Source organism: Homo sapiens, chromosome 8, assembly GCF_000001405.40.
Source record: "Homo sapiens chromosome 8, GRCh38.p14 Primary Assembly".
Classification (NCBI taxonomy): Eukaryota; Metazoa; Chordata; class Mammalia; order Primates; family Hominidae; genus Homo; species Homo sapiens.
The window spans coordinates 118,101,253-118,119,202 of NC_000008.11; the positions used below are offsets into that span (position 1 = coordinate 118,101,253).

At 44.1% G+C, this 17,950-nt stretch overlaps 1 protein-coding gene across 1 annotated transcript in view, besides 3 other annotated features; it reads right to left on the reverse strand.

The window, feature by feature from the left end:
- Positions 1 to 10,574, reverse strand: part of EXT1 (exostosin glycosyltransferase 1) — a 317,337-nt gene extending 306,763 nt beyond the window's left edge. The window contains exon 1 of the mRNA NM_000127.3: positions 8,833 to 10,574. Within this exon, the coding sequence (NP_000118.2) occupies positions 8,833 to 9,794 (962 nt within the window). The 5' untranslated portion in view covers positions 9,795 to 10,574. The remainder of the gene's footprint in view (positions 1 to 8,832) is intronic.
- Positions 1,972 to 2,724: an enhancer, noted in NCBI's record as "NANOG-H3K4me1 hESC enhancer chr8:119115463-119116215 (GRCh37/hg19 assembly coordinates)". NCBI's record gives its function as "activates a minimal SCP1, AML or CMV promoter by ChIP-STARR-seq in naive H9 embryonic stem cells {active_cell/tissue: H9 hESC(naive)}" and the evidence as "EXISTENCE:reporter gene assay evidence [ECO:0000049][PMID:30033119]".
- Positions 10,427 to 10,516: a silencer, noted in NCBI's record as "silent region_19478". NCBI's record gives its function as "represses an Ori minimal core promoter by ATAC-STARR-seq in GM12878 lymphoblastoid cells {active_cell/tissue: GM12878}" and the evidence as "EXISTENCE:reporter gene assay evidence [ECO:0000049][PMID:35858748]".
- Positions 10,617 to 10,996: a silencer, noted in NCBI's record as "silent region_19479". NCBI's record gives its function as "represses an Ori minimal core promoter by ATAC-STARR-seq in GM12878 lymphoblastoid cells {active_cell/tissue: GM12878}" and the evidence as "EXISTENCE:reporter gene assay evidence [ECO:0000049][PMID:35858748]".

Consider the following 17,950-nt stretch of genomic DNA (forward strand, 5'->3'; position numbering starts at 1 on the left):
TTGGGGGATCAGCTACTGTTATGGTGCAGGGCCACAGGCTCTCCCTTTTAAAGGGCTTCACAGAAGACAAAAGGGTACACAAAAAGAGGCTGTGTATCCTCACAAATTTCTCCTTTTCTGTCCATTTTTAAATCACTTAGAATAGTGCCTCCTTTACACTTAAAATCCCAGGCCTTACTTAGATGCCCAGAGGTCAAAGCGACCTGTCCAAATTTACCTCCTATGGTCCATGGAGTCAACAACCAAAGAGAAAACAGAAACAAATCCTTGATAAACTGCATACAATTAGCTAGAAGAGTAACATCTACCTAGGTAAGGCCTGCAGATTCTGAAATCCCAGGCAAGGTTATATGCACAGTGCTTGGAGTGAAGTCTAGGGATGTCTGCTCAGTAAGAGACCAGGGAGGATTTTGGCTGGAGAAAAACAAAACTTCAAAGAGAACAGAGCAGTGGAGCTTCAAAGGCCCCCTGGCAGGACCAATTAACACCTACAAATGTTTATCTAGGCAGTCATTTAATGATGGCTACTTCACTAAATGGGTGTTCACCTTAAAAACAGCTATAGCCCAGAATGGGATTGGAGTGGGGAGTTAGGGAGGACAGGACAGGAAGTTCTATATTGTGTTTTGAGAGAGAGACCCTAGTCAAGAAGAAAACACTCAACAAGGTGAAACCCATTACAGACTATTTCTAATGAGGAAAAAAAAAAAAAACAAGTTAAATATGTAAGAAGGCTGGGTGCTGTAGCTCACGCCTGTAATCCCAGTACTTTGGGAGGCTAAGGTGGGTAGATCACCTCAGATCAGGAATTCAAGACCCGCCTGGCCAATACAGCAAAACCCCATCTCTACTAAAAATACAAAAATTAGCCGGGTGTGGTGGTGGGTGCCTGTAATCCCATCTACTCGGGAGGCTGAAGCAGCAGAATCCCTTGAACCCAGGAAGCGAAGGTTGCAGTGAGCCGAGATCGCGCCACTGCACTCCAGCCTGGGTGACAGAGCAAGACTCTGTCTCAAAATAATAATAAACAAATAAAATATATGTAAGAAAATGTAAATGGTTAAACAAACTCTGGTCCAACCATGGGTTAGAAAAAAAAAAAAAATCACACCTTAAAAATCCTATTTTCCAAACAATTTACTAGAACAGAAAAATGCCCTTGGATAATGTTAGGAAAAAAAATAACATCCAAAAATACATTTAAAGTCTGACTTCAACTTTACAAAACTGACAGACTAGAATGGTAAGGTGAATGGGTAGGAGTTTGTTTTGTTTGCTGAAGTAGCCCCAGCTCCAATACATAAGTGTCTGGCACAAACAAGACACTTAAGAAAAATGTGTTGAATTCATTATTTACTCACCATTAATTAAATAATAATTAACCTATCTATCCAGGGTACTTGGATATGCAGAGACAGAGCCACATAAACATATAGGTATATATATGTGCTAGAATAGACTGACTACATCAAAGTTTACCAATAGTGGCTAACACTTATAATAGAATTAGGAAAGAAATTTAATTATGTATTCCAATCTTCTGTATTTTCCCAATCTTCCACAGAGGCTATGCATACTTTTTTTTTTCTTGCTTTCTTTCTTTCTTTGAAAGACAAGGTCGGCCGGGCTTGGTGGCTCATGCCTGTAATCTCAGCACTTTGGGAGGCCGAGGTGGGCGGATCACCGAAGGTCGGGAGTTCGAGACCAGCCTGACCACATGGAGAAACCCCGTCTCTACTAAAAATACAAAATTAGCCGAGTGTGGTGGCACATGCCTGTAATCCCAGCTACTCGGGAGGCTGAGGCAGGAGAATCGCTTGAATCCGGGAGGAGGAGGTTGCGGTAAGCCGAGATCGCCCTATTGCACTCCAGCCTGGGCAACAAGAGGGAAACTCTGTCTCAAAAAAAAAGAAAGATAAGGTCTTGCTCTATTGTCCAGGGTGGAGTGCAGTGGTGCCATCATCAGTCACTGCAGCCTCAATGTCCCAGACTCAAGCAATCCTCCCACCTCAGTCTCCCAAGTAGCTGGGACTACAGGTGTGCACCACCATGCCCAGCTAATTTTTTTATCTTTAGTAAAGATAAGATCTCACTGTGTTACCCAGGCTAGTATGATCTAGAACTCCTGGGCTCAAGCAATCCTCCCGCCTTAGCCTTCCAAAGTGCTGGGATTACAGGCATGAGCCACTGTGCTCAGCCTGTGTATAACGCTTATAATTTTTTAAGCACTGTTTTTCTTTTAAAGAGCCTTAGGTCCTGGAGGCATTGGGTGTGGTATGTTCCAGAAACAGAATATTCCCATAGGCCTTTCATTTCTATTCTATTGGATCACAGTGTCTACCTGGGGCAGCAGTCACTCTGATCCCCATCCACCTGCAGCGACATCTCCAGGGTTCACTTTCACTTACAATCACAGAGGGACACCCTGCAGGATGCTATCAGTAGGGGAAAGGTCACACAGACAGAATGCTAATCAGCTTCCTCACTTTTCTTAGAAGAACCCTAGGAGAGAATTACAAGCAGAATCTACATAGAAACAATTCCAATGCCCCTTGAACAGAAGAGTTGAAGGAGTTCAGTGCTTAAATGTCAGGTTTAGGAGCCACCTTTATGACATCTCTGAGCCAAACTTTTTCCTCGGGAAACATGTTCATAAAGTAAAGCAATGGAAAAAAGATCCATATACAAACACCTGACTCACGCTTCACGTATTAAAAGTTAATATGTAACAGGGAGAAACTCTGTTTGATTCTTTAAGATGGTAACATTTTGTAGAAGAGAATGGACTTTGGAATCTAAGTACCCAGGTAGGAACCCTGCCATTTTCTCACTAGATGTGACACTGAGCTTGTTACTTTACTGTCTCAGGGGCCTACATTCTAATCTGTAAAATGGGGATATAACCTAACTCACACTGTTGTTGAAAGGTTCTATGAACTAATAAAAGTAAATTCAAATAACAGGTACTCAGCAAATCTTCTAGTCTGGAGGGAATCCTGTTTATTACAGGAGCCTGGTCAAGGTGGAAGAGGTTTTAAATAAAAACAATTATAGGTTGAATATCTGTTATCTGAAATGAATGCTAGTTATCCCTTATCTAAAGAAAGTTAATTCCGCACAACCTGAAGCATGTACATGTTCCATGCAGGGGGCTGGCACACCTGTTCTGATGACATGGCCACTGCATACAACATTCACATTATGACCTCGAGAGAAAAAAAACGCACTATTTTCTTCTTCCAGAGTATGAAGGAAGCGCTAGGTAATTATTACATGGCAATAGCTACTTCTCAAACACCTTGTTCAGAAAATACCTTGTTTCAAATACACAATTTAGGCTGAGAAGGACTTGGCCTAAAATGCTTGAAATGCTTGAGACCAAAAGTGTTTCAAATTTTGGATTTTTTTAGATTTTGAGATATCTGCATTGTATACTTAGAGTTGGACATCCCTAATTCAAAAATCCGAAATCCAAAATGCTCATGTCAGTGGTCAAAAGTTTCAGATTTTGGAGCATTTTGGACCTTTGGATTAGGGAAGCTCAACCTGTAGTTATTAACCTCATGGAAACATAAGCTTCTGTGTTCATGTTTGAACATGAAACATGTCCAGAAGCCTGCAGAAGCCAATGACCACTTTGTCTCACCTGGTTCATTCTGAATATGCAGTGCTGCAAAGCGAATGCAGTGAGGTAGCAATGAATGTTCTTCTCTCCGTGAAAAGAACAGACAACTCGGGCCATAAAACCTGGGTTTTAGCCTCAATTCAGCCACTTACAGGCTGCGTAGCCTCAGGCAAGTCACCTTACCACCGTTTGCCTCCGTTTACACACCAGCAACATAGCCTGAGAAGACACCTTCAAGATGGTTGTGAGCAAAGCAGCCAGGCCCTACCAAGCACAACTTCTGCTGTGACATTGGCATATTAAAGGTCATTATTGGCAGGAGTTTCTAGCACTGTGTTCTGAGAAGGCAGATCCTCAAGCCTTCTGACAGAAAGAACTAACACCACCTGCAGGTGTAGCATCTCCCCTTTTGCCATCCAAAGTTGCTGTCAGAGTCAGGGTGACCAAAGGTGGCCTCCAATGGGCAGGACCTGCCCAAACCTTAGTAACAAGCCATTATTCGTAGAGTAAAATCCTGCAGGCCCCTAGCTTAGATCACAGACTCCACTGGAAACCCTCATTTGCTAGGCTGAATTCAGTAATAATACAAATGTCCCTGAAAGTAGCAAATAACACCCCAACATTTACTCAGGGATTCCTTGTGATTGAGGTTCTCAGGTGCTCTCCAGAAAGCAGGTTTAGAAAGAGGCGAGAAAGGAAGGAGAGAATCAGAATCTCGGTGTCAGAAGACAAACTTGCCAACTTCATAATTTTCCATAGGGCTGGCCCTACCTTATTTTTTAACTGTGCTAATTGGGTTTATGTTAGAAATGCTTTTGTGCTATTGTACAACTGTGGGGAGAAAGGTGCTAATATTTTACATTTAAAACCCGAGAATCTCAATTCCCACCTTTCATTTTGGAGAAGGAAAACATTCATCTAAGGTTCACTGCTGGATCATGAACTTGCTCAAGGTGTCTGTTAATACAGTTTGGGATAATGAGGAAAAAAAGAAAAAAGTATTTAGCATTTTTACTTGCCTTGCACATATTTTCTTTTTGCTGTAAGTGCATGTAATTCAACTTATTGTTCAGTCAATGCACAGTCTATTCCCTAAACCCCTTAGGGCCAAATTGAAAGGTTCAAAAAACTCCTACTTAGACTAAACAGCTCCACAGACCTACCCAACTAAACAAACAGGCAAAATGTAAACTCCCAGAGCAAGAGTTTGTAAGTCTGAGGATGCCCTCAGCGGGAGGTGTGTGTCAGCCCCTGAAACCATATAACAAATTGTGTACATGCTTTTATTTATTTACTTATCATTTATTTTTGCAAAGGTTGTCCTCCAAGTTTTCATCAGATTACTGAAGAATTCTAAGAGAAATCCCATAACAAACACCATTAATAAGGATCTCCTTGTGGCTGGTGAATTTTCAAGGGTGCCTGAGAATAGAAATGAAAGACTGCAGATCAAGGCAAAATTAAGGGGGCCTGCATTCTGGTGCTACCCTTGTCACTAAACAATTTTCTTGCCTTAAGCAAACCCCTGAAACGTTCTGTCCCTCAGTTTCTACATCTGTAAAAATCAGGATGTTGGAAGCTGAATGATCACTTACCTCCAAGACCCTTGAAGATACCAGGATGGTGAGGTACAGTGTTAGCAAACACAGAAAAAGGGAAATACCAAAAAGAATTGCACACAATCTTGCCTGTTTCCAGAAAAGCTTTAAATATTCACCCTTGCTTTCCTTGGAGGGGGTCAAAGATAGAAGCCACCTCTCCTTTCCCTCTCTTTCTTCTATTTCAAATAGCTGAATCTAAAGTTTCACAATAATGCCCTTTGTAGGGATGTGAACTATGAAGTTCATGCAAAAGTACAATAATTCTATAAGGATGCATAAGTAGCTGAAAGAACATAAAATACAAAGAATTTCTCTAAAGCGTCACTACAACTCATCTAATTACTGCAATGACTTGTTTTAGCTGGCATTATCCACATGTGTTAAAATATATAACTGATAAAAAATAATTACAGCTATCATAAAAATTGATATTTTAATATAATCCTGAACGTCTGGGTCAAAAAATGACAAAAGAAATTTATTTTCTCTCTATTACAAGAGAAAAGTATTTTCTTTCATTCCTTGCAGCTTTTCTATACCTTTGTAATCAACGTCTAATTTTCACAAAGGCACAGGTGAGACAGAAGTCATTGCTCTTTTAGCACTAAATTCTTTATCGACACATAATATTCTATTTCACCAAAAGCAACCTTTTTTTAGTTGAAACATTTGTATATACTCTATATTTGTATATACTCTAACTTGACCATAATACCATAAATTTTCAATCTAGTCATCAGGCTGCATAAAGTTTGCTCCAAAGGAAACTTACAGGTGATTGCTTGAGGGAGCAAATTAAACTGAAGCTTTTTTTTTCCCATGGACACTTGCTAATAAGCTAGATGGAAACTGATTGTGTTTTTACAAGCTATTACCAAATGAGTGCTTAGAGCACCCCTGAAGCAGTCTGAAACCCACTCTGCAAAACCCAAACTAATGCTCAAGGTGACTAATCAAAAGTCACACCATGAGTCAGTATGAGAAGTCAAACTTACACAGATCACGTCTACAGACCTAACTTCAATATCGCCTCCACCCAAAACGCTAGAGAGACTGGCATATCTTGACTTGAGGAGTTCTGCATCTCACATATCTAAGGCCATCTTCCAGAAAGCATCAATATAAGTAGCACAGTAGTTGCTCTTACGCCAGAGCACGACACACGTTGCTTGCTCTGCTAGCGTATCTCCAAATTTGAGAGTTCTTGCTTCATCTTCATGTGTTCCAAAAAACCAATAATAAATGGCAATAAAGTTTGTAAGCACCATTTCTCAAAGACAAATAATTCTGCTAACCCACTCAGAGGAATGAGTCAAAACTCCAGGTGTACCAGGCGAGTGAATGTAAACCTTTCGCAGCACCATCCCGGGCTACATGCAAGTTTAGGGCTGGAAGGTATGCCAAAGGGGAACATAATGAAAATCCAGAAGTGTCCCTGCTAAAGAGATCCCTGCTTGGGAGAAAGAGCAAACTTGCTTTTCTACGAAATGCCACTTTTCTGATCAGACCCAATCCTGAGGTCCTGACCCCTTGTGGTCTTTAAACATAAACCAAAGTGTGGGTGTCATATTTCTTGGCCCGATCACAAAGAGGTCAAAAATTAGTTAAATTTAGTAAAAATTAAAGTTTTAAAGAAACCAACCCCTCCCTTCATTGCTGATCTCTAGAAAATGCTTCCATTCCACAGAAAACGTAGAAACGTAATATTTATTTTGGGAATAAAAGGGTAAGAAAGATATTATTCACTTGGATTAAGGGTATTTTCCAATATATATAATTCAAATTTCCTAAGCTGAAATCTCAGCTTTAGCCCTTTTAGAAGGATGAAGAACAGAATCCTTCCACAGAATTCTTTGAGACTGCTTTAGAAGACACTGAAAGGTTAGACTTCATCTCGAGTTACTCCACCATAAACCAGACAAAGAAATTCCTGAAAGGCTATAAGCATTTTTTTCTTACAAGCACCCACAGGAATAGGTCAATGTAAATGTCGTATAAACAAAGCAGTTCATTACTAACCATAGTTTAAATGTCTTTTATGAGAAAACTGTAATCCATTGCAACTGCACATTCATACATAACTGCCCCTGGATGAGAGGAAAATATGGATTCATAATTGATCTTAGTCTCCGGCTTTTCTTATGCCTGAAAAGCAAAAGGTATTGGGGGTTGGAAAGCTGAATCTGAGTGCTTGATACTTTCTCCTTCACTCTCTATGATCAAGTCTTGGAGGACTTTAATTTCCCTTCCAATCACTCCTATAGAGGCCCTAGTGTCTGAAAAAATGCACAGACGACAATCAAACCTTTCATTTCAAGGCCAGTTTCCCACCATACCCCTTCCTGTTCCAATCAGGTTTGCGAAACATTTCCCCTATTCTGCATTTCATGAATCAATTGCAAAATCTGCCAACCTCTGCCAGTTCCTCTTGTACTCAGCTGAGAGGTTCCCCTTCCTTCCCTGGGTAGCACAAGGCTGCTCTGGTTTTTAACTGGCGTAACGTGGAAATGCACTGTAGGAACTCACTAACTCTTTCACAGCCAGATGTAAGTGAGAGTCTGGGCGGCAACCCCACCTACTAGGAAACTGGTCCACCAAGCTCAGGATAAAGCAGATTTGTGGAATTTAGCTTTGACTCCAAATCCCGTGTCAGTTACTGTCACGGGGAAGGAAAAAGGAAGAGTGAAAAGGTCTACAAAGTAACCAATTCAGTTACTTAGCAACTGGACAAAACTTGCCTCACTACAGAGGGTAAGGAGGCATCTCACACCCATTCAAAGAGTAACAGTCTACAATTTACATGCAAATAGATAAAGAAAAAAGGGAACGGGAAATCTAAATTAGCAACTGGAGTTTAGACAGTGAGACTGAGGCCCACATTTAAAAAAAAAAAAAAAGTTTATCCTAGGAAAGAGACAGGACATGTACAGAAATGAATGAATTAATAAATGAATGAATGAATGAATGCATGCATGCATGCATGCATGCAAAGCCACAGGCCCAACAAGTTTACAGTCTCCCTTCATAAAAGTCAATGCCACGGGGGAGAGAGGAAAGGGCCACACAAAGTTCGATACAATTTAAACATTTCCACGGCTAACATGAATTACAGGCTTACAGAAAATGTGAAGTTGGGAAAACTCCTGGGAAAGTAGGTACCCCCGCTCATGAGAAAAGCAAACAAAAGCATCACTCTTGGTGGAAGGTCTCTGGACTTTGGGTAGATCACAGCCTCTCCGGGTCTCTAGATACCCTCAGAAACACCCTCCAGTACCCATGCCTGAAATGCAGTTACTAAACTTGGATCTAACCCCGACTCTTAACAGGAGACACGCCGCCCTGCAGGTTTCCTAAGCAAGAGGGAGATACTGTCACCTACTTGGCTCGAGAAGGTGCTCCAGGCTTTTCAGTTTGCCCGAGGAGCTCCAACTCTCTGTCCCCAGCCTCTAGCTGCACACCCGAACCGGATTTGCTCAGTTCCAGGCTCAAAGGGGAAAGAGGACTGAGGGCTCATCCGCCCTCACCCCATCCCCCAACTTCACACCTGGACCAAGGCCGGCAGAGCCCAAGGCTGACTCCCAAAGACACGCCAGCCCAGACACTTACTTCTCATACTCGGTGTTGTCTCTGTCACAGCGAGAATCCTTGTGCTTTTGCCAGTCTTTGCCATGCTTGCAGGTGGTGAGGAGCACAACGTCCTCCCCGTTATGGACGTGATATAAGGCATTCCTGGTGTCTGATCCTATCCCTGTCAGGTACCTCTTCCCCTTGAATACCAGCATGTACTTCCTGAGAGGAGGGATGGTGTTGAACTTCAAAAACCCCCTCTCCCCTCCTGTCCTGGGATGATCCTTAGAAAAGAGGGGAATAGAAACATCAAAGTTGGGTCGGAAGTTTTCAGTACTGATGCTGGCTTTGGCCAGCATCGCCTGGCCGATGTCAAACCCCACGTCCTCGGTGTAGTCAGGCCAAGTGCCGGAATATAAATTAAAAATTAAATGATTCCTACCATTGTTCCACAAGTGGAGACTCTGCACTTTGGATCTCAAATTGTGCACATACTGAGGTGACAACTGGTCTCTGTCTAAAGTATCCAGACTCAGGACAAAGAGGCACGCCTGGCTGGGGTCCGAGGTGTAGAACCTGGAGCCCTCGATGGCCGCTAGAATGTTTTGGTAACTTTCGGCGATTTTCTCCCCTTTTTGCTGTGGGTATACGTAGACTTTGAAGCCGTTTTTCTTGCAAAGGGTGAAATCGAAGCAGGACTCCATGCGGCACTTCTTGCCTTTGTAGATGCTGGAGTTGGCATCTCGCTTCTGCCGGGGGGAAATGTGCACGCTGGAATCCTCGTTTTCCAATTGATCCCAAGGAACGAAGGGGCGCAGAGCGTCCGGGAAGCGGGGCCAGAAATGATCCGGACTGGGGTGGTGCAAGCCATTCCTACCGCTGTGTTCTTCTCTCCGGCTGTGGCTCCTCGATGCCCTAAACTGCAAGCCTCCGAAATAAAACAAAAGGGCGAGACAAGAGCCAGCTGAGAGCAGGATGAAATAGCGTTTTTTGGCCTGCATGTGTCCTGCCTGGGTCAAGAGGATTGTAAATAAACACAAGAATCACCCAAGTTTCCCAATCAACACTTTCAGCTCCAGTCCGCCATCTTCCCGCCTGTAAAGACTTCAAACTCTCCGCTCCCACCTTCTCTGGATGCCTTTCCCCAAGCCGTGGACTGATCCAGCGCATGTGGGCGATTTCTTTAACTTTCTCCCCTTCGGTCTTTCATCTTTGGGTTGCACAATGCACGGGAGAGAGCGGGGCTGAATATCTCGCACCCAGGGCGGGCGAGCAGCGGACTGTAATTTTCTTGCATGCAACAAGACGGAGGAAAAGAAAGAGAGAGGGGAGAAAAAAAAAGCTCCCGATACCCAATCAATGGCAAGACGAAGTGATTGCCTTGCCTCTCGGATTCCTCTCGGCAGCGTGGAAAATGAGCCCCGGGAAGGCAACTTCAACTCATCCACCACTCTCCGTGCAGAGCACTCCGGTTCCAACAAGTCAGCCGATCCCGGGTTCAGCCGGCTAGTGCATCTTGCAGCTGGGGCGCCGTAACCTCACAAATCCCTGCATCTCTCTTTATTCCCTTCTGCAGCGGCTCCAAGACTCCGGCGGTGTTTACTCCTGCGCTCGCGGGGCCGGCCCCCGGGACGCGCGGCGGCCCGGCTGGAGGCGGCGGCGGCGGCGGCGCTGGGTGGCGGCGGCGGCGCGTCCTCCCCGCGGGCAGTGCCGGCCCCGAGCAGCGCTTCGCAGGCCCCCGCGCGAACGCTGCCGACCGCCGCGTTCGGTCGCCGAATGTTACCCGGTTCTGAATGTTACACTTACACATTCCATTCCCGACACGACAGCGCTGACCTCATCCATCCACGCAGCCCGCGCTGCCATTGGCCGAGCGTCACGTCCGGGGGGGGCGGTGCTTCCGCTGCGCCCATTCATAACCCCCGGCCGCGGGCCGAGGCGCCGGCGCGGCGTTGGGGGCGTAGGGGGCGCAGGGAGCCGGGGCTCCCGGGTTGCAAGCTGCCGGCGGGCTGCCGGGCAGGTGGAGCGCGGGACGGCCCGGTGCGAGCCCCGCGGCCCCTCGGCGCGCCCAGGCCCGGATCTCGGCCTGCGCCGTGCCGGGGACCAGAGGCGCCTGCGGAAACGCGGCGGCCGGGGAAGGAGGCACCGGCAGGGGCCCCGTGCCGCGCGGCCCCGGGCGCCCTGGAGAATCTGGCCTCCTGGGCTGCCTGCCGGAACGCCTAGAGAAAGATGCTTTGAAGGAGGGAAGCAGGGAGGAAAGGAAGACTTCATAGAAAGCGACCGCCGATCCGAAAGCTGCCTCTCCCAGCCCTCCTTCCACTCTCCGAGACCCAGTATTTCAATTTTCTGCTAAGCATTAAAACAATCTCCCCTTACTCCTCCTCTACATAGCACATTTTTTTAAACCAAAGAAACACCCCAATGCCCAACAATAAAGAGGAATTATTACAATCAAGAGGAATTGTTGCAATTCTTCATGCCTGCCTCTGTGCTAAGAGTGTAAGACGGCTATCCTAAATCCTCATTATCTACTTAGGCCGCCTTGCCTGAGCCCCCTCTGTCTATTATGAAGAAAGCTTCCAAGAGATCCAATCACAGAGAAAAAATAAATTTTCTAATGGCTGCAGGGAAACCAGTTAATTTAAGCTTGCCCCAGTCCTCAAAGTGATGTTATTCTCTTGGTGGTGGTGGTGGTGGTGGTGGTGTTAAAGATATCTCTTAAGGACATATGACTGGTAGAATTGCCAACTGTCCCAGCTATAGAAGGAACACTTGCATCAGGAAAACTACCTTATGTACAATTAGTGCCAAATAGTTGGTCCTTCCCTCACTGACCTCCCACTCCTTGGCCCAAGCTCCTGCCACTCCCAGTGGAAGAACTTCATTAGATAACTCAGGTAACCGAGGAGCAGTCCCGCTAAAGATCCTCCAGGTCCACAAAGATGTGCTAGGCTCCCAAACAGTATCTCTGGTCAAAGTCAAACTCCCTGGCCTCAGATCCTGAACACTGCTTTACAGAAAACACCTCCCACCCTCTGGCCTAGCTAAAGTCTCAGGGCTCGGGCAAGCTAGACAGTTGCCTAGGGCAGCCGGCTGTTTAGTGATTGTTTATTATGGGAGTGACTGAGAGCTAGGAGCAGACACTTCCCGGCTTCCCTCAGGCTGCAAAAACCCCAGCGGGGTGTGGATGAAGGGCAGGGTTATAACAAGGCAGTATGAAATGATAGAGTGGAAAGTTTCAGACCTCTGTTGTTTCAGATTTGTTTTAATAAAGCAGGGAAGGGGCATGGGTGGGACATTACTATACATTCGTGAAGCCTCTCCCTATTTCTGACCTGCCAAAGATGAGACAGCTTTTCCAGATTTGACTTGAACCCCCTGCACAATGTAGAGAGGCCTGGGACAGGAATAAGGATTCAGTCATCTTCCAAATACAGTGACAATGATGCAGATAAAGGCAGTGATTGAAACCACATGTGACCCAAAGCTCCCCCCAGCCCAAGTTGCTAAGAACAACAGTTCAAGGCAGGAGGCCTTCTCTTCTGATCAGGGTGCAGATTATCTCAGCCCTGTGAAGTGGGGCTGTGGGACTGGAGGTGCTCTCTCTCTCTCTCTCTCTCTCTCTCTCTCTCTCTCTCTCTCTCTCTCTCTATATATATATATATATATATATATATATATATGCTGGAGTGCAGTGGCAGGATCTCGGCTCACTAGAAACTCTGCCTCCCAGATTCAAGTGATTTGCCTCCCTCAGCCTCCGGAGTAGCTGGGATTACAGGTGTGCACCACCAGCCCTGGCTAATTTTTGTTTATTTTTGGTAGAGATGGGGTTTTGCTGTATTGGCAAGGCTGGTCTCGAACTCCTGACCTCAAGTGATCTGCCCACCTTGGCCTCCCAAAGTGCTGGGATTACAGCATGAGCCACCTCGCCTGGCCCCTCTATATCTTGCCAGTTGTTTTGCATGACCTTAGGGGGAGCTAGCTACCCTCCTTGCTCTTTTGTGTTCTGTTTATGTTTTGGCATGTGCTTCCTGCTTTTCTTGCCTAATTATGGCTAATTTCCTTATCCCAGACCCCAGTGTTACCCATCTCTACTTGTACATCCCAAAGTGTTGTGTACTGTCAGAAAAACTTTGGTGCTGACAATTAGAGAAAACTTGAATTCAGACCCCAGATCTGCCATTTACTAGTACCTTGGGCATGTGGCTTAATTTCAGTGGACCTCCAGTTTCTCGTTTGAAAAGTCAGGATAATAATATCTTTCTTGCCAGCAGTTTTTTTTTTCTTTCTTTTCTTTTTAACAGAGTCTTGCTCTATTACCCAGGCTGGAATGTGCAGCAGTGTGGTCTCAGCTTACTACAACCTCCACCTCCCGGGTTCAAGTGATTATCCTGCCTCAGTCTCCCGAATTGCTGGGATTACAGGCAACCGCCACCATACCCGGCTAATTTTTGTATTTTTAGTAGAGATGGGGTTTTGCCATGTTGGCCATGGCTGGTCTCGAACTCCTGACCTCATGTGATCCGTCTGCCTCAGCTTCCCAAAGTGCTAGGATTATAGGCGTGAGCCGCCGTGCCTGGCCTCAATTTGTAAACTGTAAATTGCTCTACATGTGTAACACCATTAGCCTAAGTTCCACTTTTCAAACTCCAACTGTAATCTTAAAAGTAGCCCCTACAATGGTATCATCATTTTGTCTCCTCTGTTTTATTTTTTCCTAACCCTTATTAGCTGAAATCTCCTCTGTTCGTTTGCTTGTTAACTTTTCACAGTAAGGAAGCCCCTGAGAGGAGGAGCACTGTTTGTCCTACTCACTCCTTTATCCCAAATGCCAAGGGCAGTACCTGGCACTTAAGTGAAGCTCAATCACTGATTCAAATGAATGAATGACTTAGTAAAATTCAGCTTCATCACAGCACTTGTACAAACTCGAAAAGAAAGAGCTCATAAGTACAGGCAACAAAAGCAAAAATAAACAAGTGAAATACATCAAACTAACAATCTTCTGCACAGTCAGTAAAGGAAACAATCAACAAATGAAAAGGCAGCCAACAGAAGGAAAGGAAATATTTGCAAACCAAATGCTGATATGGGGTTAATATCCAAAATATACAAAGAACTCACACAACTCAATAGCAAAAAAAAAAAAAAAAAGCAAAGGACCTAAATAAACATTTTTCAAAAAAGACATTCAAATGGCCAATGGGTATATAAAAATGTGTTCAACATCGTTAATTATCAGGGAAATACACATTAAAACCACAGTGAGATACTACCTCATACCTATTAGAATGGCTGTAATCAGAAAGACAAAAGATAACAATGGGGCAACATGAAGAAAACAGAACCCTTGCACACTGTTGGTGGGACTGTAAATTCATATGGCCATTGTAGAAAATGATAGGGAAATTCTCAAAAATTTAAAAGTGTAATTACCATATATCATCTAGCAATCTTACTTCTGGGTATATATCCAAAGGAAATGAAATCAACATGTCAAAAAGATATCTGCATTCCCGTGTTCACTACAGTGTTATTCACGATAACCAATACGTGGCAACAACCCAAATGTCTGTTGATTGATGAATGAATAAAGACAATGTGGTACATATATGCAATGGAATATTATTCAGCCATAAGAAGCAGGAAATCCTACCAGTTGCGACAACAGGGATGAACCTTATGCTCAGTGAAAGAAGCAAGATATAGAAACACAAATACTGCACTTCTGTGTGGATCTGACCCATATGTGGAACCTAAAAAAGTCAAACTCACAGAAGCAGAGAGTATAATGGTGGTTGCCATGGTCTGGGAGTTTGGGGCAATCGGGAGATGTTAGTCAAAGAATATAAACATTCAGTTATAAGACGACTAAGTTCTGGGGATCTAACATACGGCATGGTGACTGTGGTTAATAATGCTGTATTGTATACCTGGAATTTGCTAAGACAGTACATCTTAAGTACTCTCACCACACACACACGTACACATACACACAAAGATAACTATGTGCCATGACAGTTGGGTTAATTGGCTTGATAATAGTAATCATTTCACAATGTATACATACATCAAATCATGTTGAACATCGTCAATGTATATACAGTTTTTATTTGTCAATCATATCCCAATAAATCTGATGAAAAATCTTTCTTAAAGGCCCCTTGGTAGTCCTCAAAGCAAGACTCAGTCTGTGGTTTGAAGTGGAAATATTACTAACCAGGATTATCTTCACAGAGGGCAAGCTGGTCCATTGTAAATCCTTTAACAATGATGTGTTTCAAACCATGTAACTCCTCTGGTCAAAGCCCTCAAGGGATCCCTGTCTCTCTCCACTAAGAGATAAAGCCCTTTCAATTACCTGCAAGGTCCTGCAGGATTTTTCTTAACCGTCCCTCACCTCCCCTCACCGCATCCTCTCACCCCATTTCCTGCCTATATCTCTCTCCCTCCCTCCTGATCTACTCACTGTGCTCCAGCCAGGCTGGTGACCTTGTTATTTGTCATGCATGGGAAACATGTCCCTGCCTCAGGGCCCCTGCACACACTTGTCTCTGCCAGTCTGCACCCCAGTCCACCTAGCGCACTCCCTCACTTCCTTCAAGTCTCTCCTCAGATGCCACCTTACTATTAAGGCCTTCTCTAACCACCCTAAATAAAACAGCAGCACCCCTTCTATTTGCCGATCCCCTCACCCACCTTTACTTTTCTTCTTAGCACTAATCAGTACCTGACATTCTATTTATTATTGATGTGTTGCATAGAGAATGTGAGTTCCATGGGGCAAGGACTTGGTCTTTTGTTCAGTGTTATATCCTCAACAGTTCCAACACTGTCCGTCACTAAATAAACACTTGTGGAACTAATTAATTAATCTGATCTTATTGTCTGTAGGGCAAATAAGAGAATATTTAAGGCTAGAGTTCTATCATCACACACACACACACACACACACACACACACACACACACACGAAGCTAAAGTAGCCCAAGCATTCAAGCCTTGCTTAATTTCCTTTTCCAGAGGTACTTTTTCCCCAGGGCTGTCTAAAAACCTGAAAACAGTGTGGCACAAAAGGACCCAGAAAATGTAACCTTGAACAAGTCATTTCACTTCCCTAAGCTTTGGTTTCTCATTGGTAAAATCAAGAGTAACTGTAATATGGCATGCTTAGCTCACTGAATTACTGTAAGAATCAAATGAGAACAAAATAATAATGTACGAGAAAAATTTTGCAGTCCGCAATGCACACGGCAGGTGCAAGATTTAATCATCACACTCCTGGACAAATGTGGACACAAGTACATGAGATGTGATCATATTTGCAAGTCCACAGTATTAAATACGTGGAATATCGCCCATCAAACACACACTGGTTTCCAGATTCTTTGCAAACTCTGAAATGGTCATTGACTGTTATAAACCAACAGAAAAAGGGAAAAACGGAAAAATAGCCAATGGAAGCAAAGCAAAGGAGACTATTTTTCTTTTTAATGTAGAAAGCACTGCAGAAACATATGTTTATCAATGGTCTACAATTCTATTTGCTATAGAAAAAAATAATTGATTGGCTCTAAAATATGAAAACAAGCTGAAGTATTGGAATTAGTAAATGTTTAAATTCCCTAAAATGTAACCCTAGGTCAACTGGCAAGGCAATCCAATCTTCATAAACGTATACAAAATTTTTATTTGATGTGGGCACATTGTAAGGTTTTGGTGATATCTGATGGAACCTCTAGCAGTAAGCATTTCTAGCTTCTAGAAAGAACAGGAAACTCTGCTAGGTTTATACTGATAGGATATAGAAGGTGGGAAAAGACAATCAGGTCTACAAAAGTTCAGGCATCCTGGAGCAGTAATGATGAATCTAGAGATTCCCAGCCAGAAAACAGAAGCCTAATTTCTAGTTGCCTCTTTGCCAGGAACCTGAGGAAACTTGTAACATTGTTTCTGAATGCTAGGGCTTGAGAGCTTCATCCAGAAAAATGCAGGCTAAGATGTGGTGATATCTTTCCAGCTGAAATAGTCAAGGATGCCCTGTATAGACCAGGTGGGTCCAGGAAGGGAAGAGCTTGGGAAAGAGGAAGATGGAACTCCGCTGAGAAGGAAGCAAACAAGTGGAAGGAAAACAAGTAGAAGTAGGAGGCCCCACCAGGCCTCCCAAGATAGCCAAGCAGGAAGCTAACCAGGAGCAAAACAAGGGAAATTCATGCATGTATGTGTCAAATCCTGCGCCAGGTGCTTTACTGGTGTTATCTCTTTGATCCTTGCAAGGTTCCTAAGACACAGGTATTCTCCTTATCAGTTGTCACAAATGAAGAAACTGAAACTCAATCCTAGGAGGGGGCTCTTGGCAATTCATTCACATAGTCCTTGAACGGATATTCATTGAGCAGATAGCCTGTACCAGGGGGTATCTGCCTAGAGTCTTTTGTCATTTACAAAACACTTTCAGAAGAATTTTTGTTTGAATATCACCGGAACCCCGCGAAGTAGGAAAAGAACATTATCCCTGTTTGACAAAAAATTAAGAATCTGGTCGTGTTTTTGTTTTATTTTTTTCTTCCCGAGATGGAGTCTTGCTCTATCGCCCAGGCTGGAGTGCAGCAGCACGACTACATGTACATGCCACCATGCCTGGTTAATTTTTGTATTTTTAGTAGAGGTGGGATTTCACCATGTTGGCCAGGCTGGTCTCATCCTGACCTAGTTCGTGATCTGCCCACCTGGCCTCCCAAAGTGCTGGAATTACAGGCGTGAGCCTGGTTCAGGCCCGGCCTGGTTCAGGGTTTCTAGCCTGGGCACTGTTGGTATTTTGCTCCACATAACTCTCTGTTGGAAGAGGCCGTCCTGTGCATTGTGGGATCCACATCCGTTGCCTCTACCCACTAGGTGCCCAACAGCACTCCCACCTGCGTCACAAGTTGGGATGCCAAAAATGTCTCCTGGAAGCAAAATAACCTCCAGTTGAGACCCACTAATCTAGTTGAAGAACTTGGTTAAGGTCAGCTAATTTTAATGTGGAGAATTTAGAATTTGACCCTCATTTTCTGGCTTCATGCCAGGGCTCTGCCACAAGACTGCAGCTTCCTTTAGAGAATCTAAATTTATCTCCTTTCTTCAAGGCAAGCTATATCAGAAAAATCTCATA